The following is a 27,764-nucleotide window of genomic DNA, read 5'->3' as shown; positions in this document are numbered from 1 at the left end:
TGGATTTTGCAATGTTTCAAAGGCATTCTTCTGAACTTGAATTCTCATCATAGAGGTGCAATGTCTAAAAACATGCAATATATAAGAGAGTTACTGAATATATTTTTCTTGATGAGGTTTTCCTTAATGATGTGATTTCATCTCGTGAATTTTTTTCTTTCTCTAAAGTAGTTTGAAGCAAAAATTCTGTTAATGGATGTCTCTGTTAAGTTGGGTTAATCAATATTCCACTGTATTTGAATATCAACATTTTAACTTCCAGAAAACAGTTGCAGTTTGCCCTACCTGATTCTCTAACCACCTGGGAAATTCAAGGCGTTGGCATTTCAAACACTGGTAAGCAGGTTTAAGTGATATATGCATTTAAATAGTGATTTGATTAGCAAGATGTAATTCTTTGTTAGTATCTATTTAGTTTACCCAGGACTTAAATGGTAGCAATTTTTAAAAAATATTCTTTTTTTTATGTATTACCAAAAGACTTGGATATACCCACATCTTTGAACATATTGATTTCTCCTTTCACTCCTCTCTTTTTTTTCTTTTTCCTTTTTTTGTAAATGAAGAAGGGGTCTCGCTATGTTGTCCAAGCTGGTCTCAAACTCCTAGTTTCAAGCAACCTTCCCACCTCCACCTTCCAAAGTGCTGGGATTACAGCTTGAGCCACTGCACCCAGCCTCAAGTCTTTATTTTCCTTCACTTTTCTCACTGACTGGGAGCTTGTGTAGAGTTAGAAACAAATAAATGAACTCTCTTGGGCTGATCTTTATGATGATTAAGTGCAGATGCTTTCCAAATAGCTTCAGGAATGGTTTTGTTTGTTTGTTTGCTACTTTTGTTTTAAAATCTTGGTTTCCACAATCAAAATTTTATACTCATTAAACATGGAGCCAATAATGAATATCTAAAAAGATTTGGTGTGTTAGTTGATAAACATTCTCATGCCTTAAATAGAATTAACTATTTGTTGAATAAATGAAGTTTTTTGTTAATACTAATTATTATTGAAATTAAGATCAATGAATAGAAAATTCAAGGACATGAGTTGAGAGTTCAGAGAAAAACATGATCTAATATTATTTTTTCCTTGAAGTAAAGCAAATGTGAGAAATTTTAATACCAATAAAACATTATAGGAATTTCCTAATATGATTCTACTTTGCTTCCACTTTGGGCTGAAGGTATATGTGTTGCTGATACTGTCAAGGCAAAGGTGTTCAAAGATGTCTTCCTGGAAATGAATATACCATATTCTGTTGTACGAGGAGAACAGATCCAATTGAAAGGAACTGTTTACAACTATAGGACTTCTGGGATGCAGGTAAGTAGGTGTTAATATTTATGGGATAAAGGAAACATTCTCTGGTTTTCTGAGAATTCTATTAGTGGAATTACCATACACAAAAAAGTAGAAGTTCAACTCAGTTCAGCAATAGAAACCAAACACTTAAAATGAGCATTGTACTATATGTGTAGGGATGTGAATTAAAGGGATGAAGGAAGGAGGAAGGACAAGTAGGTATTCATGTAACTTCAATTGAAAGAATAAATTGCATAAGATAATCCATGTGCTGTGGAAGTCCAGAGAAGGGTGAATTCATCTTTAGTTCCTTTATTTGCCTATACTCAGAGTTCCTTGATTTCCTTGATTCTAACAACCCTTTCCTCCATTTTAGCCATTCATACTCATCTTCACTTTATAGATCTTATCATCCTCTCTGAAATCTTGATTTCAGACATTCACATCTCACCATCCAGTGACAACCTCCTTCCTGTCCTCCTAACTCATTAACCAGATTACTTCCATAGCTCTGGGTCAGTAGCATCACTGAAACCTTCAGTCCATTGACTCAATCCCTTTTATTGTCCTTTACTTCCCTGCTCTTTTTACTTTACTCCTTGTTCAGATTAGAATTCACCAGCCATCATTAAAACCACACTGACTAAAATTATGCCAACTCCCTGGATCCTATCTCACTCCAGGACACAATTCCAACCATGATTGGACCCACCATTTATCTTCTCTTTGCCAGCACACCCCTAAAGAGAATTATATAATAGGCTGACTGATTTGATTTGAAAATCACAGTCACAAAACTTTGCATGAGAATTCAATGTGTTCCAAAATTCTAGCTATATTTTTTTAAAACACTAACTTTATTCTTAGAGATTAGAATTTCAGTGGTTTCCTAAAATTTTGCTTACATACCCTCTTGTTTTGGAAAAACTATGTATCCCTCTGACACTTTTTTTTTTAAGACGGAGTCTCGCTCTGCCCTCTGACACATTTTAAAATTGGCATCTAAAATTTTTATCATACATTTTTTAAAAGATGGCAATCTATTACTTTTAAAATATTTAAATATTGGTATCTTAAAATAAAACTGTTTTATCAAACTTATGTATAGCAGACTCCAAATACCATAGCAATCAATTTTTTAAATGCTCAAATAAGCCTTTTTTTTTCAAGATGGGGTCTTGTTCTATTGCCCAGGCTGGAGTGCAGTGGTGCGATCTCCGCTCACTGCAAACTCCTCCTCCCCTGTTCAAGCAATTCTCATGACTCAGCCTCCTGAGTAGCTAGGATTACAGGTACACGCCACCATGCTTGGCTAATTTTTGTATTTTTAGTAGAGACAGGTTTCGCCATGTTGGCCAGGCTGGTCTCGAACTCCTGACCTCAAGTGACCCACCTGCCTCAGCTTCCCAAAGTACTGGGATTACAAGCATGAGGAACTGCTCCTGGGCTCGAATAAGCTCTTAGCAACAGATTACATATCATTCCTTTTCCTCAATGAATTCATATTTCCATTTTACTCCCCTAATGTTACATATTTTATGCATGAATTTTTTTCTGTTGATCACCTTATTATACTTTAATGAACAAAAATATGCACATACATTGAAAATGAAATATCTTAAAATTTCATGATTGTAAAATTCCAAGTATCAAATGATATGTGGATTTAGGTATCATTACAAATATTATTATTAGTATACTATTGATAAAATAACATATTTCTAAAGTTATTAAATATAGAAATAAAATTTTATTTAAAAATTCTCTTCTCGGCCAGGAGCGGTGGCTCAGGCCTATAATCTCAGCACTTTGGGAGGCCGAGGCGGGTGGATCACGAGGTCAGGCGATCGACACCATCCTGGCAAACACGGTGAAACCCCATCTCTACTAAAAATACAAAAAAGTTAGCCAGGCTTGGTGGCAGGCGCCTGTAGTCCCAGCTACTCGGGAGACAGAGGCCGGAGAATGGCGTGAACCCGGGAGGCGGAGCTTGCAGTGAGCCGAGATTGCGCCACTACACTCCAGCCTGGGCGACAGAGCGACACTCCGTCTCAAAAAAAAAATTATCTTCTCATTAGATAAATGAAATTTTTCTCTCAATTGGCTTAATAGTTATGGATAAATGTTATTTATTGTTAGAAATGAGAGAGAGTTTGGCATAAATTCTATTCTTATTTTTCATTTTTATAGAGGTAGGCATTGCTGTTCAACCCAATTTTATCAGGAAGGTTGATAAAATAAAAATATTGTCAATTTTATTACCCCTTTATCAATATATTTTAATCTTATATCTTGGAGCTTCACATTTAGCTTATTCAATTTATGTAATATGTTTGTCATATAATCTAACTGGAAAAATCAGTCCTCATTGATAAAATGATCAGCGAAAATCAGACTTACTCTTTGTCATAGAAATGCCAATTTCATTTTTCAATCCAAATCATGTTAAGAAATGTCACTCTTTTTTTCACAATTTTAATTTTCAGTAAAAATGAACTTTTCCATATAAACTTGTTTCATCAGGTAACACTAAATATCAGAGAATGCACACACAAATTTTACTTGGCCACAGGATGTAAATGGGGAATAAACTTAAGTAATCAGAATTTACCATACTGATGGTATTATCTTTTTTTTTTTTCTTTTTTTGAGACAGAGTCTTGCTCTGTCACCCAGGCTGGAGTGCAATGGCACAATCTCGGTTCACTGCAGCCTCCGCTTCCCAAGTTCAAGTGATTCTCCTGCCTCAGCCTCCTGAGTAGCTGGGATTACAAGCATGTGCCAGCTCGCCTGGCTAATTTTTGCATTTTTAGTAGAGACAGGGTTTCACCATGTGGTCCAGGCTGGTCTCGAACTCCTGACCTTGTGATCTGCCCACCTTGGCCTCCCAAAGTGCTGAAATTACAGGCATGAGCCACTGTTCCCGGCCAGTATTATCTTATTTTTACAGAAATAAAATCAAAATGTTACTCATTTCTCTTCCTTAGAATTTACTCACAGGGTTTGCATAAATCCTATGAATCATGCCACCATCTTCAGCCCTGTGGAATTGCCCTCCCTCATTTGGCTCCATCCCCACCACCCTAAATACAACGTGAAGAGTTGGAGAAGGACCTTGATTAAGAAGCTGTAAAGTTGCCTTTACATTATTTCTTTTAAACCCACTAGCTTTTCTGCAGACAGAATGCTTCATGAATTTAAGATAATCATAACTCAGATAGAGATACCAAAGGCCATTTCTCCATCAGGTTCCTGTAGTGGTTTTCATGTCTCAAAATCCTGATTCAAGATGGGCTTGAGGCTTGGAAACTGAGATACTAAGACAGTCAGACCATCTCATCAAAACAGACTCAGCATAATTTTATAACTCACACTGATCTTGGCTACCAAAGGATTTTGGTAGATGATTAAGGAGGTGTCACTCTTAAACCATGTAAATTGTAATTTGAGATAGACACATAAATAGGTGGCCATAACAGATGGGTAAGGCACAGAGGCCACAGCCAAACTCTGCTCAACTGTAGGATTGAGATCAGCAAGGGCTCCTCTGCTCACCTAGTCTTAGACATATAAAATCGGCTTGTGTAGGTATGTGTGTATATATATATATATATATATATATACACACACATATATATATACATATATACATATATACGTATATATACATATATATACATATATACATATATATACATATACATATATACATATATATATATACGTATATATACATATATACGTATATGTACATATCTACATATATACATATATGTACATATCTATACATATATACATACATATATATATATATACACACACTGCCTCAGCAATTTGTGTTTCCACCAATAATATTATCAGAGACATCCTTTCATATCAGTATATACAGATTTACTTCATTACTTTAATGGCTGCACAGTAATTCACATGGTGGGTATACTATAATTTATTGAACCATGTTTCTATTAAAGACATTTGGGTTGTTTACAGGTTTTCACTATTATAACTGATTTTGCAAAGTCTGCATTTATGCATACATATCTTCCTACATGTATATTTCTGTAGGATAGATGTTTTGTCTTGGAGTGAACTAACTGGGCTAAAGGGCATGGACATTTTACCTTCTGATAATAAATATTGCCATAATTATCTTCCAAAAGGATTCCATCAATTGACATTCTTACCAAGTGTATGCAGGTAGCCTTGATCCCTCACATTCTTATAATTTGGGGGAATAAACATTTTTTCTTTTATTCATACAATGAACACTTATACAGAAATTGAAATGAATGGACTAGATAACTACATGCATCATTTTGATTAAAGCTCAAAAATGTAACATTGCTGAAAAAAGCAAATTGCAGAATAATATGTATACACAATGAATACAACTACATAATATTTAAAAACATGAAAGACCGCGCTATATATTGTTTGTTAATACACATAAAATTTTTGCCAAGTTGACAGACACAAGTGATATGTCACTGATGTTTCTATTTCACTACCCTGATTACTAGCAATGTTGAACCTCATTTCATTTGTCTGTGGCCATTTGTATTTCTTCTTTCATGTATTCTATGATATCCTATATACTACTTTAATATCCTTTCTTTTGCTTTCCATTGAGTTCCTTTTTTCTGGGGTAAGTTACCTAGCTTCTTCTTGCTTAGTTTCCTCATCTGACAAATGGGATGATAATAGTATCTATTTCATAGTTGAAGATTAAATGAGCTAATTCATGTAAATATAGTACTTGGCCCATAGTGAGTACTCAACAAATGTACTTATTATTGTTTACAGGAGCACTTTGTATGTTAGAGCTATAAATTCTTTATTGATTATAAATGTTGCTGGTATTTAATCTGCTACTTGTCTTTAACTTTGTTATTAGTGTTTTTAATTTGTATGTTATAAAATCTGTAGATCTTTTCCTTTATGTCATTTGAGTTTTGTGTTTTTGGAAATCTTTTCTCACTGCAAGTTTTAAAAACGTTTTTCTACAAAATACTGCATGTTCTCACTTATAAGTGGGAGCTAAACATTGAGTATATATGGACACAAAGAAGGGAACAGCAGACACCAGGGCCTGCTTGAGGGTGGAGGGTGAGAGAAGGGTAAAGATCAAAAAATGACCTATTAGGTACTATGCTTATTACCTGAATGATGAAAGAATCTGCACACCAAACCTCTGCGACACGCCATTTACCTATACAACAGACCTGCACATGTGCCCCGAACCTAAAATAAAATGTTTTTCTAAAGAACTGTTTTTTCTATATTTTCTATAGTACTTTTATAGTTTTTTGTGAGCATTTAGATTTTTTTATCTGAAATAAGGATCTAATCCCAAATAGCCAGATGATCCAGCAGTATTTGTTAAGGAATTCATGCTTTTCCAACTGATTTAAAATGTCATCTTGCCCCCATATATATTGAATTTCCATATATGTGGATCTATTTATAGATTCTCTCCTCTGTTTTGTTTACATCAGTATCACACTGATTTAAAGTACCATAGATTTGTGGTTATATTGTATAACTATTAGGCAAGTACTCTCTGGTATTCTTATTTTTCAAACGTTTTTGATGTTGTTATTCTTACACATTTACTCTGCCAGATAAACTTTGGAATTAGTTTGTTGAATTCTCCTTTTAAAATTATAATAGGGTTTTCATATTGTCCTGAATTTATGAATTAATATAAGGGAAATTGACTTGCCATATTGAATCTTTTACATCTCTTTATCCTTTTGCTTTATGAACTAAATCAAGGGTCAGCAATTTATGGACCATGGGCCAAATCTAGCCTGCCATCTCTTTTGTATGTCCTTTGCAATAACACAATTATATATAACTTGACAGCATTTTTTTTTTTTTTGAGACAGAGTCTCGCCCTGTCGCCCAGGCTGGAGTGCAATGGGAAGATCTCGGGTCACTGCAAGCTCCGCCTGCCAGGTTCAAGCGATTCTCCTGCCTCAGCCTCCCAAGTAGCTGGGATTACAGGCACACACCACCATGCCCAGCCAACTTGACAGCATTTTAAAGTGTCATGCATATCACTATACTGCCATATTTTATTTAATCTTTAAATTTTCAGTGCATTTCCATCATATCAAAATAAGAAACAAGTACATCTGTGATATTTTGGGCTTAGTTCCTGTTAATTACCTTTCCTCCTGAGTGTGGGTTACACTTTCCTATTTCTTTTTATCTAGTAATTTTGGATTGAATCTTCTACTTTATTAATAAAAATATTATAAAGACTCTGGATTCTATTACATTCCTCTGAAGATTTTTCGTGTGTGTGTGTGTGTTAGCAGGCAGTTGGCTGGATTCAGTTCCAGACTCTGAAATCTCAGTTCAGTATTTTTAGCCTTAGCTGGATGCTAGAAATCTGTGCTGTGCATAGGTCAAGGGTCAGCCAGGTTTGAGCAAGGATTATACACAGAACTTGGAGTTCCTTCACTATTCAGCTGTGGTAACTATTCCCTACTTTGTCCTCTAGTTCCTAAACCAGTATGATGTCAGGTTCTACTGGGGTTTTAGCCACTCCAAGGCACCAATGGGACCTGCCCTCAGGGTAAAGCTATAAAAAGCGGGACACTTATTCAGTGTCATTCCCTTCTCCCAAGTGTCACTTTCCCTCCCACTCTCTAGTATCTGCAGGTAGTTTGTTTTAATATGTATCTTGTCTAGAGTTTGTGGTTATTTTTACAGAAAGGTTGCCCAATATAAGCTATTTGGCTATTACTGAAACCAGAACCACTTTTTTTTTTATATTTTCTATCAGTTTCAAAAGTTCCTTTTAGTCTCAATTTACTAAGAGTTTTTGTAATGCAATTATGCTGAATTGTATTAAATGACTCTTCTATATCTATCCTTCCCCACCCTCCCCTGCTGTTCTAAGGAAATCATTGGCCGCAGGTGATCCAATAGTCTTTTGCTCTGGCTTCTCCCACCCTGGTGGTTGTCTCCCAAGAAGATAGTTAAGAAGGAAAAGGAACTTTCTGTTTTCAAGAAATTCCTCAAAATTAGTGGTTGAATAGCTGGTGCTCTCTTTTGTTTACCTGCTTGACTTATTCTGGATTTTATGGATTTATTATTTTGGGTATAGTTCTCAATTCTATCAGTTCACCAGAATTTGGAGGGAAGATGAAAAATGTTTACTATTTGAGCCAGAAGTCAGTGGGCACTATTATTATTCCCATTACAAAGATGAGAAAATGGAGGATTAGAGAGTTCATGCAACCAGTTTCCATCACCAGTTAATAAGAGGAATGCCAAAAATTGAATCCAGGTCTTTCTGGAGCCAGAGTTTGGTTGTAAAATGGGGTACAAATGGGAAGTTGATAAAATTAGAAAAGTAAGCTGGGGACATAATGGGCAGGGCCTTGAATGCCGATATAGGGAATTTTCAGTCTTTGATGAAACCCATCATTTACTGAATACCAGAGGCTGAGCTAAAAGATACAAAAATGAATAAGATGAAAATGAAAAAGTACCTGAGCCTAAGGCTCCCACTATCTGAAACACAAACATGTAAAGAGACAGGGTAATAAGTGCTATCACAACAGCATGAGCTCTGTACCCAATTTAGTACGTAACAGTCTAAGAAAGGTAAGATGTTTCTGAGACAGTGTTGACTTTTCTAGACATCTGTTTGCATTGCTAAACTCTACGGCAACTTGTGTGTCTATGTTAGGAAATCTGAAATGAACTTTCTTCTGTGCCTTAGAATCTAAGGGATTATTTTAACATTGTTAAAGTGGAGAGTTTGTGTCCAGACAAGCATAATCAAGGTCAACTTTTTTAGAGATAAAGTATTTCGAGTCTGGGCACGGATTACAGCATCATGCCTGTAATTCCAGTACTTTGGGAGGCTGAGGTGGGCGGATCACCTGAGATCAGGAGTTCGAGATCAGCCTGGCCAACATGGAGAAACCGTGCCTCTACTAAAAATACAAAAATTAGCTGGGTGTGGTGGCGCATGCCTGTAATCCCAGCTACTCAGGAGGCTGAGGCAGGAGAATTGCTTGAATCCGGGAGGCGGAGGTTGCAGTGAGCTGAGATCATGCCGCTGCACTCCAGCCTGGGCGACATAGCAAGACTCTGTCTCAAAAAAAAAAAATGTATTTTGATATAATTCTTCACTTGTATTTCAGTTCTGTGTTAAAATGTCTGCTGTGGAGGGAATCTGCACTTCGGAAAGCCCAGTCATTGATCATCAGGGCACAAAGTCCTCCAAATGTGTGCGCCAGAAAGTAGAGGGCTCCTCCAGTCACTTGGTGACATTCACTGTGCTTCCTCTGGAAATTGGCCTTCACAACATCAATTTTTCACTGGAGACTTGGTTTGGAAAAGAAATCTTAGTAAAAACATTACGAGTGGTGGTAAGAAAAACATGCTTCAATAACTTATGCTTAAATTATTGCAAAAGAGAGACACAGAAAGGGGGGGGAGAGAAACAATAGTGTAAATTTAACGAAACATTAAGCATTAAGGAAACTGGATGGAGGTTATTCCAGATTTTTTTTGTACTATTCTTGCAATTTTTCTGTAAGTCTGAAATCGTGCTTAAAAATTTTTAATAAAACAATATTTGTTTCGTAGAAAATATAAAATACTGAAAAACGACAGATAAATAAAAATCATCAATAATTCCCATACCCAGAGATATCTAATTTTAACAATTGGTACACGTCTTTTTTTGGTATACAGGTACAATTGGTACACAGGCTTTTTTTTCCCCTTAATACATTCAGAAAATGTGTCTTGAAATCTATGTGCCAGACATTATGCAAGGAACTGGAGATAAAACAATAAATAAGACATGGCCCTTGAATTTAAAGAACTTGCAGTCTAGAAAACTTTCCATTGTATAAACAAATAAACAGTCCCAAAAAAGAAGAAAAGTATAATTTGTTAAGTACAATTTACCCACAGTCTGTTAATTGTATTCACGCTATTAACATTAATATTTTTATGTAATTTTAATATTTTTATATAATTTTAATATTTTATATAAGTATGATTTACCAATTAAAAATAATAGTACTTTTAAAGGACTAAGATTCTTGCTAAGGGTCATATGGCCAATTAATGACAGACTGGATTTCCTGGCTCTTCACTCTCTGTTTTCAGCTATGAAATTCACTTCAGTAAACATGTACCGACTTATTTTGTGCAAAGCACATTCCCATGCATCCTTGCACTGTGGTTCCATGCAGTCTCTGGAGCGAGGCTGCTGGGCCTTGAATCTTGGCTCCATCACCTCCTAGCAGTGTGACAGTGTTACTTGATTTCCATGTGTGTCAGTCTCCTCATCTGTCGAATGGGAGTAATAACAGCACCAACCTCATAGAGGTTTTTAGAGGTTAAATGAGTTAATACATATAAAGCACTTAGAACAATTATCTGGCTTATAAATAACTTCTTTTTAAGCATTTGCTCTGGTCAATATGCAAATAGCCATAAAATCTTATTGCTGCTTATATCCATGTAAGTATTTATACATAGTTTGCCTTTTCCAAGAAAAATAATTTTTTAGTTTGAAAAGTGGTCCAGAAAAGTTGATCCAGGGAATTCAGGTTATATAAACTTATGTTTTTAACTGAATGTTTTCTGCCTTTATTTTAGCCAGAAGGTGTCAAAAGGGAAAGCTATTCTGGTGTTACTTTGGATCCTAGGGGTATTTATGGTAGGCAAAATGATTTTTTATTTTATATGTTATCTTTTGCTTTAGAAGTTAAAGTGTGTATGTAACTTAAAACACTATTTTTCAGAAAGTGAATTGTCTAAAATCAGTAGTATCCACTTCTGGCCAGGCACAGTGGCTCATGCCTGTAATCCTAGCACTTTGGGAGGCCGAGGTGGGTGGATCATTTGAGGTCAGGAGTTCGAGACCAGCCTGGCCAACATAGTGAAACCCTACCTCTACTAAAAATACAAAAATTAGCTGGGCATGGTGGTGGGCACCCATAGTCCCAGCTATTTGGGAAGCTGAGGCAGGAGAATCGCTTGAACCTGAGAGGTGGAGGTTACAGTGAGCTGAGATCGTGCCACTGCACTCCAGCCTGGGCGACAGAGCAAGACTGTGTCAAAAAAAAAAAAAAAAAAGTATCCACTTCTTAGATCACTATCTTTCTTGATAGCATTATAGTACAACTACTATAATCTGAATGACTGAGACACAACAATAATAATTCCATTAATTTTGAATGCAAGGCCTTGAAATAGTAACAATTGCATGACTTCCCTCATATATTATTCATTGTCTATCCATCACAATAATAATTTATAATATATTATTATTGAGCCAACAGTCCAAAGAACACCTAAGAAAAAGTCATTTACATAATTAACATGCATTATTTGAAAACATAATAATGCTAATTAATCACTAAACAAACCCATTCCTCATTGCTCCTGCTTCCCTACTTTTCCTTCAATTGAGATATTCCAAATCTTCTCAAAGCTAGAATTTTGCAAACATTTGAGTACTTAATCAAGGCCTAAATACATATACATGTATTTATGAAATTTAGGATGTGGCCAGTTAACCATTCTCTTTTCAACTAAAGAAGACAGATTACTGCAGTTCTTATTAAATGCTTACAACTTATCTTAACGTTGTATCAATAATTTTTGTTTTATTTCAATGATATAACAATGGGGAAAAAATTTACTTACAGATCATGATCACTATCATCAGTGTCATTTCCTCTGGGAAAGCAAAGAATTAATACCCTTTACACTTTAATTCATCTGAGTATCATGAACTGAGGAGTGTTATTTCAGTAGAGCAATAAAAAGTAAAATCCATCTATGTACATGCGTCCACATGCTTACTTGTTTCTCCAATTTTTTCTTCACACAGACCTCCTCCTTGCCTGCTCATTGTGAATGATCTATGGGTAGAGATATTACAAGTTTCAAGGGTTTTAGCCTCATGCAATTATATCAAGCCTCAAAAGCCACTGTGTCCTTGGCTTCTCTTTCTTTTTTTTTTTTTTTTCACCACAGATGCTTCTTCTGCTGACATTATTGCAAACAATTTTCCAGAGCAGTCTTGCCTTACTCATCCTAGGTGTGAACATCAAGGCCACAGGATAGGAACAATCTTTTATCTGGGAATAAATCTCTGTAGAGAAAATCTGGGTTAAAACAAAAATCTGTGCCTCTTTCCAATCTTCTCATATGACTTTTTTCCCTTAACATTTTAGGCAACTTGGGTTTAGGCAGCTTTCCTGATTTCTGCAGAGCTAAAGAGGGAAAAGATAAAAATTCTGTTCAGCTTATTTCAGATATTTTATTAAATACTTCTAATATTTATTATTTTTTTTTTGTGGGGTGGGGGGACAGGGTCTCACTCTGTTGCCCAGGCTGGAGTGCAGTGGCGCCATGTCAGCTCACTGCAACCTCCACCTCCTGATTTCAAGCGATTCTCCTGCCTCAGCCTCTGGAATAGCTGGGATTACAAGCACTCACCACCATGCCTGGCCAATTTTTATATTTTTAGTAGAGACGGGGTTTTACCATGTTGGCAAGGCTGGTCTGGAACTCCTTACCTCAAGTGACCCACCAGCCTTGGACTCCCAAAATGCTGGGACTACAGGCGTGAGCCACTGTGCCCGGCCTATTTCTGATATTTATATATTGAAATCGCTATACAACTATGATACTTTACAGGGTTCAGTTAAAAAAAAATGCTAAAAAGTGTTTGGAAAAATAAATGGACTATAATGTTAAAGGAAATCTGAAAAAATATATCAATGAGGGAGAACAAACAGTATATAGTAATTAAAATTGTGTGACACCAGCTTAAAAAAAGACTAAACACAGAGACTCAATGCTTAAGACTAGCTCTAGTCTTTAGTTTCTGCTTTCTGTCCCTGATAAGCCCTTTTCTCCCAACTCGTCTCATATCTCAAATGCAGAGTGTTAAGTTTCTCACTCCCTCATTTCCTGACACACCATCCTCATTGGTTTAGGCAGGCCCCTCTCGTTTTATTTTTTCCTTCATCCCGGACCCCATTCCCATTCCCCTTCCTCCAAGTGTACCCACTCAAATGTGTTTGCTGTATACTTTTGAATAGAAAGGTAATGTTGTTTTGTATGTATGTACCTCTTTAATCTATGTATATGTAACATTGTGCTATAGATCCTATTCTGTCTTAAGTTGTTACACTCAAGGCTTAGTTTTAAAGAAATATCTCGGCCAGGCGCGGTGGCTCACGCCTGTAATCCCAGCACTTTGGGAGGCTGAGGCGGGCGGATCACGAGGTCAGGAGATCGAGACCATCCTGGCTAAAACGGTGAAACCCCGTCTCTACTAAAAATACAAAAAATTAGCCAGGCGTGGTGGTGGGCACCTGTAGTCCCAGCTACTCGGGAGGCTGAGGCAGGAGAAGGGCGTGAACCCGGGAGGCGGAGCTTGCAGTGAGCCAAGATCACGCCACTGCACTCCAGCCTGGGCGACAGAGCGAGACTCCGTCTCAAAAATATATATATATATAACTCTATTGTTATAGGTATACTTAATTCATTTTTCTTACATAGAATTTCAGAGCATGTTCCCTCACCATTTTATCCATCACTGTATATACAATATATTTCCCTTGAAAAATCCATGTTAGCATTTACCTGGACCATATATCCAGGAGCTGGGTCAAAGGATATATACATATTTAATGCCATTTAGTCCTGTCATATTGCCCTTCAGAATGGTTATACTTCCATTAGCAGTGCACGAGGGTTCTCGTCTCTCCACAACCTCACCAACACTTGCCTCTCTAAAATGTGGCATTTTTAATGGGTATAAAGCACTATCTCATTATTGTTTTAATTTGGATTCTTCTGGTTACTAATGATTTTAAGCATTTCTTCATATACTTGTCCATTTGGGTTTCCCATCTGTCAATTGCCTATTCATATCTTTTGCACGTTTTTAAATTTTCTATTTGGGTTATCCTTTTAAAATTTCTTCTTGATTTTGTCTCTGATGTACCTCTTTGAGCAACAACAAGCCTTCATGGGTTTGAAAAGGAATTATTTATTCTGATGTAGTCAAATCCATCATAATTTCATCTTATGGTTATATATTTTTGAGGTAATCTTTAAGAGGTCTTTCTCTACTCTTAGTTCACAAAGACATTGCTGGATATTTTATTCTGTTAATTTTATAGATTTGAATTTAAAATGTTTTAATCTGTCTGGAACCTGCCTTTTTATGTGATGTCTTGATGAGTCTTTTACCGTGATCACTGATGAGGAATAAAATTAACTTCTCTTAGTTTTAACTTTCTCTTTACCTTTTCCACCTGGTAGTAGAGTTGCCAATGGAATTGAAATAGTCAAGAGCAGGTTTCAATGGAGAAAATGGTGAAGGAGCAAATCTAGATAATCTCAAGGCTATCTGTAATAAGTATCATATATTGAGCATGAATTGTATGCCAGGCTCTTTGTCTATATTATTTTTATCCCACAAAAATCCTTTGAGGAAAATGTTGTTATCTCCATTTAACTGATGAACAAATTGAGGCTAAGAAAGGTTGTATCTTGCCCAGCGTCACATATATACTAAGCTCTTTTTGAACTTCATGCTCTTTCACTCAAAGTGCAAACCTCTTAAATGTCTTCTGAATTTTATTTTGATATATCCTCTGCATTTATCAAGGATTAATGAAGAAAGAAGTTTTATGAGGAATGTTCCTGCATTTTTAGGAAAGCCATGTGGCTTGTCCATTAAATTGCAAAATGTGACTCATTTTTCTTTAGCATCTTCCATATGCCAGGGTCTGTGCTAAGTGCCAGGACTACAGCTGGAATGAGAAATGATTCCTGCCCCCAGAGTGCTTTCTTAGCAGGACAATGGGAGGTGGATTCTCTTTGTGGTGACTAGTGTGGGCTCTGCAGCAAAACTTCTGGAGTTCAGATTGCAGCTCCACTTGTATTGTTTCTGGGACCTTGAACACGTTACTTTCTAAGCCTCAATTTCCTCATCTATAAAATTAAACTAATGAAAATAGACCTAACATAGAGGACTGTTGTGAGAATCCAATGCAATAATTCATTTAAAGAACTTAGTAGCATGCTTGGTACTCTATCAGTAGAATGATCAATGTTACCTTTTTTTGGACATAAACCAGTGATCACAGTAGAAAAATTATCTGATACCAGTATGCTAAAACTCTGTTGTTTTGCCCATAGATTAAAAAGTATCAAAACTAGACTGGGAAGGGAAGGTGGAAAGAATTTCAGATCATACTTCCCTGTGGAGCTAATGTTCAATATATAGTTGATTAAGAAATTACATGTTAGTTATTCTTAGCTTTCAGTTCCAGGAACAATTTTCTGTCTTTGGGCAAGCTGGCATGCTATATTTTGCTGGTGAATAAGATTTATATAACCTATTTATTTCACATCTTATAATGACCAGGAAGCTTACAGCCAAATTTAATGCTTTATTTAATAAGATTATACAAGCCTAGGGTTTGATTAAAGTCCTTGATGATTTTTAACTTTCTTTTAAAATTTTAATAGTCTAATTATAAGTCTTTTATTTTGAAATATTCTTTGGAAGTAGATACATTATAAATAATCTGCAAACAGTCTTCCCCTGGAAACTCTGTATAAATCCAAATTTTCTAAATTACAGGTACCATTAGCAGACGAAAGGAGTTCCCATACAGGATACCCTTAGATTTGGTCCCCAAAACAGAAATCAAAAGGATTTTGAGTGTAAAAGGTAAATTAACAAATGCCATTTTTATTTCTCATTTCACTTGGTGCTTCAAACAAAAATCAAATATCCTCATGATTATTCTGTTTCTCCACTTCCGTGTTCAGTAGCACACACAAATCTACCTTTAGGAGTGCTCCACCCCTACCCACCCCCACTTTCAAACCTTTAATCACTTTTCCCACTATCTTCTTCCAACGGCCTGATTTACATGGAGATGCATTCTCCTCCAATGGAAGGTAGGGACTGTCATTGGCTCAAAGATGTCTCTAAAATGGGGGTCCAGTTGCTTCTAGACTTAAAGAACTTTCCATGGTCTTAGTGGCCAGTCCCGCTCCAGAGAAGGCCTATGGCCTGCACATGGCCTAGCGAGAACAGCACTGCTCTGCTGAAGTACTGGTCCCAGAAGGGTTGTCTTAGTCCATTTATGCTGCCATAACAAAATAACAAAATTTATAAATAATACAAATTTATTTCTCACAGTTCTGGAGGCTGGGAAGTCCAAGATCAAGGCATCAAGAGATTGGGTGTTTGGCAAGGGCTGCTCTCTGTTTCCATGAGGATATATGTTGCTGTATCCTCCTGTGGCAGAAAGTGGAAAGGCAAAAGGGCAAAAAGGGGTGAAGAACTTCCTCTTACCTCGTCTATAAGATTATTAATCCCACTCATTAGGGTGGAGCCATCATAACCTAATCACCTCTCAAAAAGCCCCACCTTCTAATACTATCACCTTGGTGATTAGGCTTCAGTGTATGAATTTTGGAGAGACATATACATTCAAACCATAGCAGGGATTCTCCTCCCCTCGCATACATTTGCAGAAGTGATATTTGCACAAGTGACTAGGTTTTCCTTAGTCTCCAGGCTTTACAATTCAATAACATATTACCGAATGATAGAATGTCCTGACTACATTTTATCTCAGATAAAACCCTAGAATCACAAAATGTTAGTACTGGAAAGGATCTTTTTGATCATGTGCAACCCTGCTGTTGGATATAAAAGAAAGTGGCATGTCCAAGGTTGCACAGTGAATTATAGACAGTCATGTCAGCACTCCCTGTTCAGGCTCTTTGCTTTGCTTCCTGGAAGGGATTGGTAAATATGGTTTATAATGTCTAAAGCTAACAGGTTGAATGGCAACTAATTTGCCATGTTCTCTTGCAGCAATCAGTCCACTGTATTACATTACCTACCACCATATTTTAGTGATTTTTAAAGTCTTTTTTTTTTTTGTTTCTTTCAAATTCATGTTCCTAACCGGATCTTTTTTTCTCACCCCGTTTCTGAGAAGCAAGTCAACTGCCTAGATAAAAAGGGAAGAACCATCTCTAGATGGTTGTTCTTCTCTCTTGAGAACATACTGTTAGAAGTTAATAAAAAGCAATGTGTCTACTTTGATCTTTTTTGTTTCAGGACTGCTTGTAGGTGAGATCTTGTCTGCAGTTCTAAGTCAGGAAGGCATCAATATCCTAACCCACCTCCCCAAAGGGAGTGCAGAGGCGGAGCTGATGAGCGTTGTCCCAGTATTCTATGTTTTTCACTACCTGGAAACAGGAAATCATTGGAACATTTTTCATTCTGACCCATTAATTGAAAAGCAGAAACTGAAGAAAAAATTAAAAGAAGGTAAAAAAAAAAAGTATTTCACATAAAAATTGGGTGATTCTAAACTAATATTTTTATTAAACTAATATTTAAGTTGTGAATTATAGAAAACTTTGTAAGAGAATTTTAGCAAAAAAATCATGAGATGGACTCTACTATATAAATAAATATTATTTCTGTAGCATTTTGGCTCAACTTACCAAAATGCCTGAATGAGAGGCAAGGCACCTGCATTCCAAACTACAGAACACTTCCTTCCTTTTCGAATGAGATCAGAATGTTCTACTTGATAATTCCCAATTCGAGCAATTCATATACTTCCTTTGAGAAGTTCAATGCTGGCCACAGAGCATATGCTTGCTGCCCAACACCAAAGGAAGCTTACCATTCTCAGGGCCTGATAAAGTGTTCTTTGAGTAGAAACGGAGGTCTGTTAAGCACCGTGTTCTTTTTCTTGTGCTTCTTAGGGATGTTGAGCATTATGTCCTACAGAAATGCTGACTACTCTTACAGTGTGTGGAAGGGTGGAAGTGCTAGCACTTGGTAAGTAGAAGATTTTGAGTTGCATTTTCATATAGTGGTTAATTAACTAAAGAATAATAACCATAATGGAAACTCCATTCCTCCAGTTGCTCAGGCTAAAAGCCTCGTCATCCTTCACTCCTCTCTTTCTCTTACCGTTCACATCTGATCCAGCAGATATGGATTCAAAATATATCCTTAATTTGACTACTTCTCACCACCTCCACCACACTATCCTGTTCCAAGACACCTTCCTCTCCCACCTGGATTCTTACACTAGTCTCCCTTAGTCTTCTGGGTTCAGCCCTTGATCCTCTTCAGTATATACTCAACACAGCAACTGAAGTGACCCTGTTAAAACATATGTTAGATCATGCCACTCAAAACCATTTAGGAGCTTCCCATCTTACCCAGAGTAAAAACCAAACTTTTTATTGTGATTTACAAAGCTCTGTATGATCTGGCTCCACCTCATGTCTCCTACTTTATCTCCTATACTCTCTTTCCCTCCAATTCAGCCCCACTAGCCTTCCTCAAACACACCAGGCATGCTTCCACCTCAGGGCCTTTGCACTGTTTTCTCAGTCTGGAATACTCCTCCTTAGGTGTCAGCATGACTGGCTCTCATATTTCCCTCAGGTCTTTACCAAATGTCACCTTGGGGAGGCCTCTGCTATATCATAATGTCTAAAATTGCAATCCACTCCCCTCCCAACACCTCATATCGTTTCTTTTCTCCTCAGTGTGATTACTAACGTTCTTGCTTATTCCACTATTGTGTATCTCCCCCACTGGAATATAAGCTCCATGCGGGAAGTTCTAAGTATCCCTAGTGCCTGGTACCTACCTGGCACATAGTAGATGCTCAGTAAGTATTTATTCAATGAAACATATCTTCCAAAATTCTGATGATTTGAGGGAAAGATAGTCTGAATTAATTAAGAGTCCATATGGCAGTCTATTTTCAAAAAATACCGGCTGGGCATGGTGGCTCACGCCTGTAATCCCAGCACTTTGGGAGGACAAGGCGGGCGGATCATGAGGTCAAGAGATCGAGACCATCCTGGCCAACATGGTGAAACCCCGTCTCTATGAAAAATACAAAAATTAGCTGGGCGTAGTGGCATGTGCCTGTAGTCCCAGCTACTCAGGAGGCTGAGGCAGGAGAATCACTTAAACCCAGGAGGCAAGGGTTACAGTGAGCCGAGATCGCGCTACTGCACTCCAGCCCGGGTGACAGAGTGAGACTCTGTCTCAAAAAACAAAACAAAACAAAACAAAAAAACCATCATGCTATGACAAAATATTTAATAAAAACGGTGTGCCAGCTGCTTTGTAGGTTCTATATGAAACATATTTAAGGAGTTTACAACCTAGAATACTTTAATTTTAGATTTTTTTCTTTTTTCTTTTTTCTTTTTTTTTTTTTTGAGACGGAGTCTTGCTCTGTTCCCAGGCTGGAGTGCAGTGGCACGATCTCGGCTCACTGCAACCTCCGCCTCCCGGGTTCAAGCGATTCTCCTGGCTCAGCCTCCTGAGAGCTGGGATTACAGGCGCGCACCACCATGCCTAATTTTTGTATTTTTAGTAGAGGTGGGGTTTCACCATGTTGGCCAGGATGGTCTCGATCTCCGGACCTCGTGATCCACCCACCTCAACCTCCCAAAGGGCTGGGATTACAGGCATGAGCCACTGCGCCTGGCCAGTTTTTTTTCTTTAGCTATTGAGATCTCCCAGAATTTTATCTTTGGCCCTCTTATTTTCTGTAATCTCCCCTGGTACAGTCTCATTATTGCCCATGATTTCCATAACATCTAGGCCAATGGCCCCCTAATCAATGTCTCAAGGCCTAACTTCTTTCCTAAGAAGTTAGGAAATGTCCTAGATCCATATTTCTAGGTTTCCGGAAGCCAAAGATCCTTCAAGCACAATATGTGCCAAATTCATTATTTTCTTCCTCAAATACACTTCTGTTTCTTTACTCAGTGCACAACAATACCCTGCCCTTTGTCCCCCATGGATCAAGTCAGAATCATCAGTTGGTTTTTGATTCCTTCCTTTCCTTTTGGCTTTACCTCTGATCAGCTACCAAGTTCCATAGATTATACCTTAGGATTAGGTCTGACCATGTGTGGGTGACACACTTCAAAAGACACACAGGGCCAGATACAGTGGCTCACACCTATAATCCTAGCACTTTGGGAGGCTGAAGCAGGAGGATGGCTTGAGCAGAGGAGTTCCAGACCAGACTGGGTAACATAGGGAGACCCTGTCTTTAATAAAACAATAAAAATATAAAAAAATAAATAAAAGGCTCATAGACCCCTGCAGCACACCAACCAGAGGATAACCCAGGATGCAGGAGTGGGAGTGAGTGTCAATGAAGACTGGAAACTGACACAGCAGGACCTGGGAAATAGATGCCTGGAGAGCAGAAAGCCCCACAGGAAGGTACAACAGCCTCTCAGTAAACACTCAGAGCCTTTCAAGAGTTTGGGGCAAGACTGAAACATACACCCAACTCCATGAGTTCCTTGAAAGAAATAATAGACATAGAAGAAAATGTCCAGCACCTAAATACCCTCAAACTTTTCTTGAGAAATACAAAGCAGATTTTTTAAAGTACGAATATCATTCATATTAGCAAAACCCAAAATTGATGATGATGAACATTTTTTATATTCGTCTTTTTTTTTTTTTAAAGAACATTGTGGATATTGAACTTTTCTCTTTAACTACAAGCCTCCATCTTATTTCTGTTTCTTTCCCCCAAGGGCATTCACTATCATGAGTTTATGCATCTTTCCAGAACATTTTTAATATTTTATATAGTATATATATACATGAAATCATATAGCTGTAACTTAACTCCAGTTTGGCTGCTCACTGCTCAAATGCCAAACTCAAGAGACTAAGGTTGGTGGGAGGAAAAGCAGGTTAATTCAGGAGCCAGCAACCCAAGGAGATGGCAGACTAGAGTCAGGAAACTATCCCAAATGCCCTAGGCTGGCCAGAGGGATTTTAAAGAGGAAGGGGCTTGGAAAACTGTGTGCAAGAGTTAGCTACGTACAGGTCAGCATGTCTTGTTCTGATTATTATCTTGAGTAACGGGCCATCTAGTGGTCAGCTAGACTGAAACAGGTTTGTAGATTAACTGCTCAGTATTTTTCTTCTCCAGGGGACATTTCACATCCTTGATTTTTATCTCATGGCTAGTTCCTGGAATTCTTAAGTAAGCACTGTTTAAGAAAGTTAAGCATTGTAAAAGAAAGAATGGTTATTTGCTTCCAAAATGAAGTGATGGGTTTACAGTCCCTTTTTGTATTTCTAAATGATTATAACTAGTATCATACTATACCTATCATTCTGTAACTTACCTTTTTCTTTTAATACTTTTTAGTTACTTTAGATCTAGTAGTATAGGTAAATATAGCTCACTCCTTTTCATTGCCATGCAGTATTTTATTTTACAAATATATCACATAGTATATATTCTTTATCTATTCCTATCTTGATGGACAACCATTTCCAAATTTTAATATTACAAACAATATGATAATGAACATCTTCATATGTCTCTTTGTGCACATGTGTGAGAGTTTCTCTAGGGTATATCCCAGGAGATAGAATTGCTGGAACATAAGGAATGCATATTTACAGTTTCATCAGATTTTGCCAGATTTCTCTTCAAGGTGACTAAAAAATTCTTTTCTACTCTAAATTTTTAGTCCCAGACCCTACTGTAAAACATGAGGAACTAAACTAGACCATATTAAGCACTTGTAGAGGTAGCCTAGGGTCTGGAACAAAAGCAAATCAAATAGCCTACTTCTTTTTTTCCTCCATGTCACACTTAAAATTTGAATTTCAGGGCAGTCTCCAAGGGACAGGTCAGTGGGAAGAGGAGAACGCAAAAAGCTAGAGCGAATTGTATTTGCTTTACCTTTAGGGAAGTGCTGTCTAGACTCTCACTCCTTAAGGATACCAGGGATGAGACACCCAAGAGTACCAAAGAGAAAGAGAGATAGGAGTAAGAGCTTATAAAAACCAGGTGCAGTGGCTCACACCTATAATCCCAGCACTTTGGGAGGCTGAGGCGGGTGGATCACCTGAGGTCAGGAGTTTGAGACCAGCCTGGCCAACATGGTGAAACCCTGTCTCTACTAAAAATACAAAAATTAGCTTGGCATGGTGGCACGTGCCTGTAGTCCCACCTACTCAGGAGGCTGAGGCAGGAGAATCGCTTGAACCTGGGAGGTGGAAGCTGTAGTGAGCCAAGATTGCGCCATTGCACTCCAGCCTGGGCAACAGAGAGAGAGTCCGTCTGAAAAAAAAAAAAAAAAAAAAAAAAAGTAAGAGCTTATACCTATTGAATACTTACTATAATCCAGAACTATTTTAAGTATGTTCATATATTTAATCTTTATAATTGATCCCAAAGGATGAGTCCGTTGTTTCTATTTATTGCCATTGCCTTTTTTCAAAGATGTAACTAAAGCATCTTTATATATACAGATGTATAGATAAGTGGAGAGGCAGCCTGGCCGTATAACTGCACTCATATGCCTTTCTAGCCTGCTAAAAGAAGAGAGACTTCCAAAAGCCAAAATCCCAAGAGAGACCCAATGTAAAATGTGGGCCAATCTTTGAAAATGTGAGTGTCCTTGAACCTGAGCAATCCGTAGAAGTATTTCTCATCCTTGAGAGCAGTGTGGGAGGATTAAAAAGAGAGGAGCTCTCAACTCTTACCCCCTAAAAGTCAATAGAGTAGAAAATAAATTTCTGATGTTTCTAGAGAAAGAATTAGGAAAAGGCACCTAGTTGTGGAGGGGCAAGTTCCGATTAATATCAAAAAAAAAATCTTTAAAATAATTAAATCAATTAGAGCAAAGACTGAGAACAACCTAAATGTCTACAGAAAGGGAAATGGCTTAAATAGCTTTGGTGCATCTGTACCAAAATACTATAATTTAATGTATAAAATCACTTGTAAAAGAACAAGGAAACTTTATGTATTAATATAGATCTCTAAGGCATATTACTAAATGGAAAAAAAGCCAAGTACAGGATAATGTAAACATTCTCCCACCATTTTGGTGTGGTTGGGATGGAAAGGTAGATGGGAAGGCTATATCTTGTATCTACTATTTGGAAGAAAGCACAAGAAACAATGGTCATCTTCTGTTGGGAGGTGGAGGGGGACAGGGACTGCTAGAAGGAGACTTTTCATAAAATATCCCTTTGTGCTTTTGGATTTTTTTTTTTTTAAGTTCTCTCACTCAGGCTGGATGCAGTGGCAGGATCTCAGCTTACTGCAGCCTCTACCTCCTGGGCTCAAGCAATTCTCCCACCTCAGCCTTCCAAGTAGCTGAGACTATAGGTGCCTGCCACCACATCTGGCTAATGTTTTGCATTTTTTGTAGAGACAATGTCTCACTATGACGCCCAGGCTTCACTTTTGGATTTTTGAATCATGTGAGGGTTTTACCTCTTTAAAAAAATGCTTAAAATACATTTAAAAAATGAAAATGAAAAAGAAACACAAATTTTTTAAGTGGGGGAAGTGGGAGAGCAAGTCAAGTGGTCTGAGTCTCAGACATTTGAGGACCTGGGGAGTGGAGCCTCCTGGGCGACTGAGAGAGTGAAGAGATGTTATGGGGGGATGAACCCAATCCTCTCTGATACTCTTCGATGGGTATTAGTAGAGACTTGAAATTGCTTTTTGACTAAGTAATAATGATCATTAAAATTTCCTGTGGGGTAGTAAGTTCTGTGTCAATGGCAGCACTCAAGGACAAGTGAGATAAACACTCCAGGGACATTGGGAAAGGGGACTTGGGGCCTCAGATAGGAATTTAGATTCCATGGAATGCACAAATTTTACAATCTAGAATTTTGTGATTTACTCTTTCATGTCTCATGTTCATAGGTCAATGCCTTGACTCAAAACTATTTATTTTATCTCTGTTATCTTTAACTTTAGAGTGTAATTCTTATCATCAGGAATCAATTTTTAGCTTGTGTGCTAGCGGACAATGTTGTAATCACAGAAGATGTGCTGTTCACATTTGTTTACCGAATGTTTTGGAGGTATTCCAAAAATCTTCCCTTCCTTTGTAAAATGATGACTTACTTTGGAATTGCATGTTTTAAAATGTTATTTTCTTTTAAAGAATAAAGTTGTATAAATTAATTGAAAGTCAAAAGGGATTCAGCGTTCTAAATATTTATTTATTTGATTTTGTCTTAAAGGTTAACAGCTTTTGCTTTAAGAGTACTTGGACAAGTAAATAAATACGTAGAGCAGAACCAAAATTCAATTTGTAATTCTTTATTGTGGCTAGTTGAGAATTATCAATTAGATAATGGATCTTTCAAGGAAAATTCACAGTATCAACCAATAAAATTACAGGTAAGGAAACCAAATGCACAAATTAGCAATAGTTTTATTTAGTTTGAGTTTTATTCTCATCTGATTATGGGAGGATGAAGAAGAAGAAGAAAAAAATGTAATTCTGCAAGAAATTCCTTTGTGAACAAGCAAAATATACAAAGGTCTTTCCCATAATATCTGAAGTGAAGCGATCTTCAGACAGTTCACTAGAGATCAGAGAAGTGATATCTTAGACCTCTCGTTTAACGGGGTGGAGGTAGATGGGCAAGTGAAAGCACTCAAGCGAGATAGACCCAGGGCTTATTGAGAAATGGGAAGCAGGAAGGGAAAGAGTGGGAGATAAGGCTTAAAACACAGAGTAGAGGCCAGGTGCGGTGGCTCACGCCTGTAATTGCAGCACTTTGGGAGGCCAAGGCGGGCGGATCATGAGGTCAGGAGTTCAAAACCAGCCTGGTCAATATGGTGAAACCCCGTCTCTACTAAAAATACAAAAATTAGCCGTGCGTGGTAGTGCACGCCTGTAGTACCAGCTACTCAGAAGGCTGAGGCCGGAGGATGGCTTGAACCCGGGAGGCGGAGGTTGCAGTGAGCCAAGATCAAGCCATTGCACTCCAGCTTGGGTGACAGAGTGAGACTCCATCTCAAACAAACAAACAAAAAACAGAGTAGAATCAGGTCATTTCGCCTTAAAGACACCATTTCACTCCCCTTTTAAAACATTGCTTCTTTTTAGGGTACCTTGCCTGTTGAAGCCCGAGAGAACAGCTTATATCTTACAGCCTTTACTGTGATTGGAATTAGAAAGGCTTTCGATATATGCCCCCTGGTGGTAAGTAAGAGTTTTCTTTCTCTCACACCCATCATCTATTTCTGTACTATATACTGGAGGGGCCACCAATCAGAAGACCTTTTGTTTCAAAAGCTTCTTTTCCTTCTTTCCAATAACTTGAAAATAACTTAAACTCCAGAATTGAAAGATTTCAGAACAATGATAGATATTAGAGACCACCTAGTCCAACCTACTCATCGGCAGTTGAGAAAGCTGAGGACTAAGTAAGGTGAATTCAGTTTCCCAGTGTCACAGGCTAATAAATTGTAGAGCTGGGTCTAAAACTGATAGCTGGGACTGGGATGGAAGAATGATCCAGTGCCCCCAGCTTCTCTGTCTTATCTTTGCTAAATCCTGCTTTATATGTTACTGTTATCCTATAGTGAAAGCATTCTGTATCATGCAAGTACTGAGGATACACAACAGCAAATGTGTATCCTCCAAATCCTTCCAAACAACATTTGCTTGGAAACGGGAGAAAAGTGATGAGCCACCTAAGTAAATCAACATAGAAGATTTCCAAGGTTGAGATGGAAAATCTCAAGTGGATTTGCAAAACTGGAAGCACAAAACAAAACCATTTGTTTTCAGTTTGTTTCAGAAGCTTAACAAGACAAAATAATCAATGAAGACTAGTTCCCAGGCACCTAGTGGCCACATGGGTGAGAGATGCATGTGGAGCTGGGAGAGGAGGCAGGCAGGATGTTAGCAGCATCGCAGCAGGCTTTCTGCTGGCCCACTTGCCCAACACAACCATTTTGGTGGCGTCAGGACTAGTGATCGGGACTATTTACCCAGGCATTCTTAGGATCTAAAAGTACTGTGGCAGTTAGGGTTTCTTTCTGCTACTTATTGTTTTATTTATTTATTTTTTTAAGTGTAACTCCTTTTGAACCTGTGTGCCTGTTGCAACTACGCTGAGAGGGAACAATAAAAGTTGTGTCTATGGGCCGGGTGCAGTGGCTCACGCCTGTAATCCCAGCACTTGGGAGGCCGAGGCGGGCGGATCACAAGGTCAGGAGATTGAGACCATCCTGGCGAACACGGTGAAACCCCGTCTCTACCAAAAATACAAAAAAAAAAAATTAGCCGGGCGTGGTGGCGGGGCGCCTGTAGTCCCAGCTACTCCGGAGGCTGAGGCAGGAGAATGGCGTGAACCTGGGAGGCGGAGCTTGCAGTGAGCCGAGATCGCAGCACTGCACTCCAGCCTGGGCGACAGAGCGAGACTCCGTCTCAAAAAAAAAGAAAAAAAAAGAAATTGTGTCTATGCTCGGTGCCTTTTCTTCCTGGAGGCTAGGTCTGACGGTGTACTCAGAAACTAAAGGCACAAAACCTCTAAAAGGAAAGTGAGAATTCAGAGGCAAAAAGCTTAACCTGATTTGGACAACCTCATTGTCCCTTCCAAGATTATGCTCTGCTCCTTCTCTCGGAGGGATTTGCTTCACTGAGAAGCCATCCATTTCCATTAGGTCAGTCCTCTTTTCACCCCCATATTGCTTGCTCCAGGATAGTGGGATCTGAGGGTAGTTCATATCAATTGATAGGTGGTTGCTTGACATAGAAACTGAAGTATCTTCTCTTGTTTCCAGAAAATCGACACAGCTCTAATTAAAGCTGACAACTTTCTGCTTGAAAATACACTGCCAGCCCAGAGCACCTTTACATTGGCCATTTCTGCGTATGCTCTTTCCCTGGGAGATAAAACTCACCCACAGTTTCGTTCAATTGTTTCAGCTTTGAAGAGAGAAGCTTTGGTTAAAGGTATAACTTGTTCCATACATGTATTCAGTGAGTGTTCACTAAGACATAAAGTCTGCTAGTCTGGGAAGTGGGTGGTGACATGTGAACTTGAGTAAGATGCAATTCCTGTCCTCAAGGAACAAACCGTCACAATACGATGTAATGTGTGCCGTTATTCATTCATTTATTCATGCATTCATTCAGCAAATATTTATTCTTTTTTTTAAGACAGGTTCTCGCTCTGTCACCCAGGCTGGAGTGCAGTGGCATGATCGTGGCTCACTGCAGCCTCGATCTCCTGGGCTCAAGTGATCTTCCCACCTCAGTAGCTGGGACTACAGGTGCCCACCACTGAACCCAGTTACTTTTTTTTATATTTTGCAGATACGAGTCTCACTGTGTTTCCCCGGATGATCTCAAATGCCTGGGCTCAAGCACTCCTACTGCCTCAGCCTTCCAAAGTGCTAGGATCACAGGCATGAGCCACCACACCTGTCCTCTATTTATTCCTTTATTCAATAAATATGCATTGAGTATCCTATGTACACCCTGGACACCCCCTATATACCTGGCACTATTCCAGTCTCTGGGAATAAAGGAATAAACAAAACAGGCTCCCCAAAATCCA

The 27,764-nt window shown here is 38.1% G+C and overlaps 1 protein-coding gene across 3 annotated transcripts in view, besides 1 other annotated feature; it reads left to right on the top strand.

The window, feature by feature from the left end:
* The window catches only part of C5 (complement C5), a 122,531-nt gene that overhangs the window by 67,626 nt on the left and 27,141 nt on the right, over window positions 1-27,764 (top strand). For 2 of the 3 annotated variants that reach the window (NM_001317163.2, NM_001735.3), the window contains exons 19-28: window positions 263-336; window positions 1,182-1,321; window positions 9,466-9,693; window positions 10,940-11,000; window positions 15,960-16,049; window positions 17,460-17,672; window positions 18,119-18,194; window positions 24,426-24,585; window positions 25,301-25,396; window positions 26,986-27,157. In NM_001317163.2, coding sequence (NP_001304092.1) covers window positions 263-336; window positions 1,182-1,321; window positions 9,466-9,693; window positions 10,940-11,000; window positions 15,960-16,049; window positions 17,460-17,672; window positions 18,119-18,194; window positions 24,426-24,585; window positions 25,301-25,396; window positions 26,986-27,157 — 1,310 coding nt within the window. Of the gene's footprint in view, window positions 1-262; window positions 337-1,181; window positions 1,322-7,188; window positions 7,568-9,465; window positions 9,694-10,939; window positions 11,001-15,959; window positions 16,050-17,459; window positions 17,673-18,118; window positions 18,195-24,425; window positions 24,586-25,300; window positions 25,397-26,985; window positions 27,158-27,764 lie in introns of those variants that run through there. The other variant, NM_001317164.2, reaches the window with a different exon arrangement.
* Window positions 23,501-23,650: an enhancer, noted in NCBI's record as "active region_28913". NCBI's record gives its function as "activates an Ori minimal core promoter by ATAC-STARR-seq in GM12878 lymphoblastoid cells {active_cell/tissue: GM12878}" and the evidence as "EXISTENCE:reporter gene assay evidence [ECO:0000049][PMID:35858748]".

Source organism: Homo sapiens, chromosome 9 (genome assembly GCF_000001405.40).
Source record: "Homo sapiens chromosome 9, GRCh38.p14 Primary Assembly".
NCBI classification, from domain to species: domain Eukaryota; kingdom Metazoa; phylum Chordata; class Mammalia; order Primates; family Hominidae; genus Homo; species Homo sapiens.
This window is presented reverse-complemented; position numbering and strand designations above follow the sequence as displayed.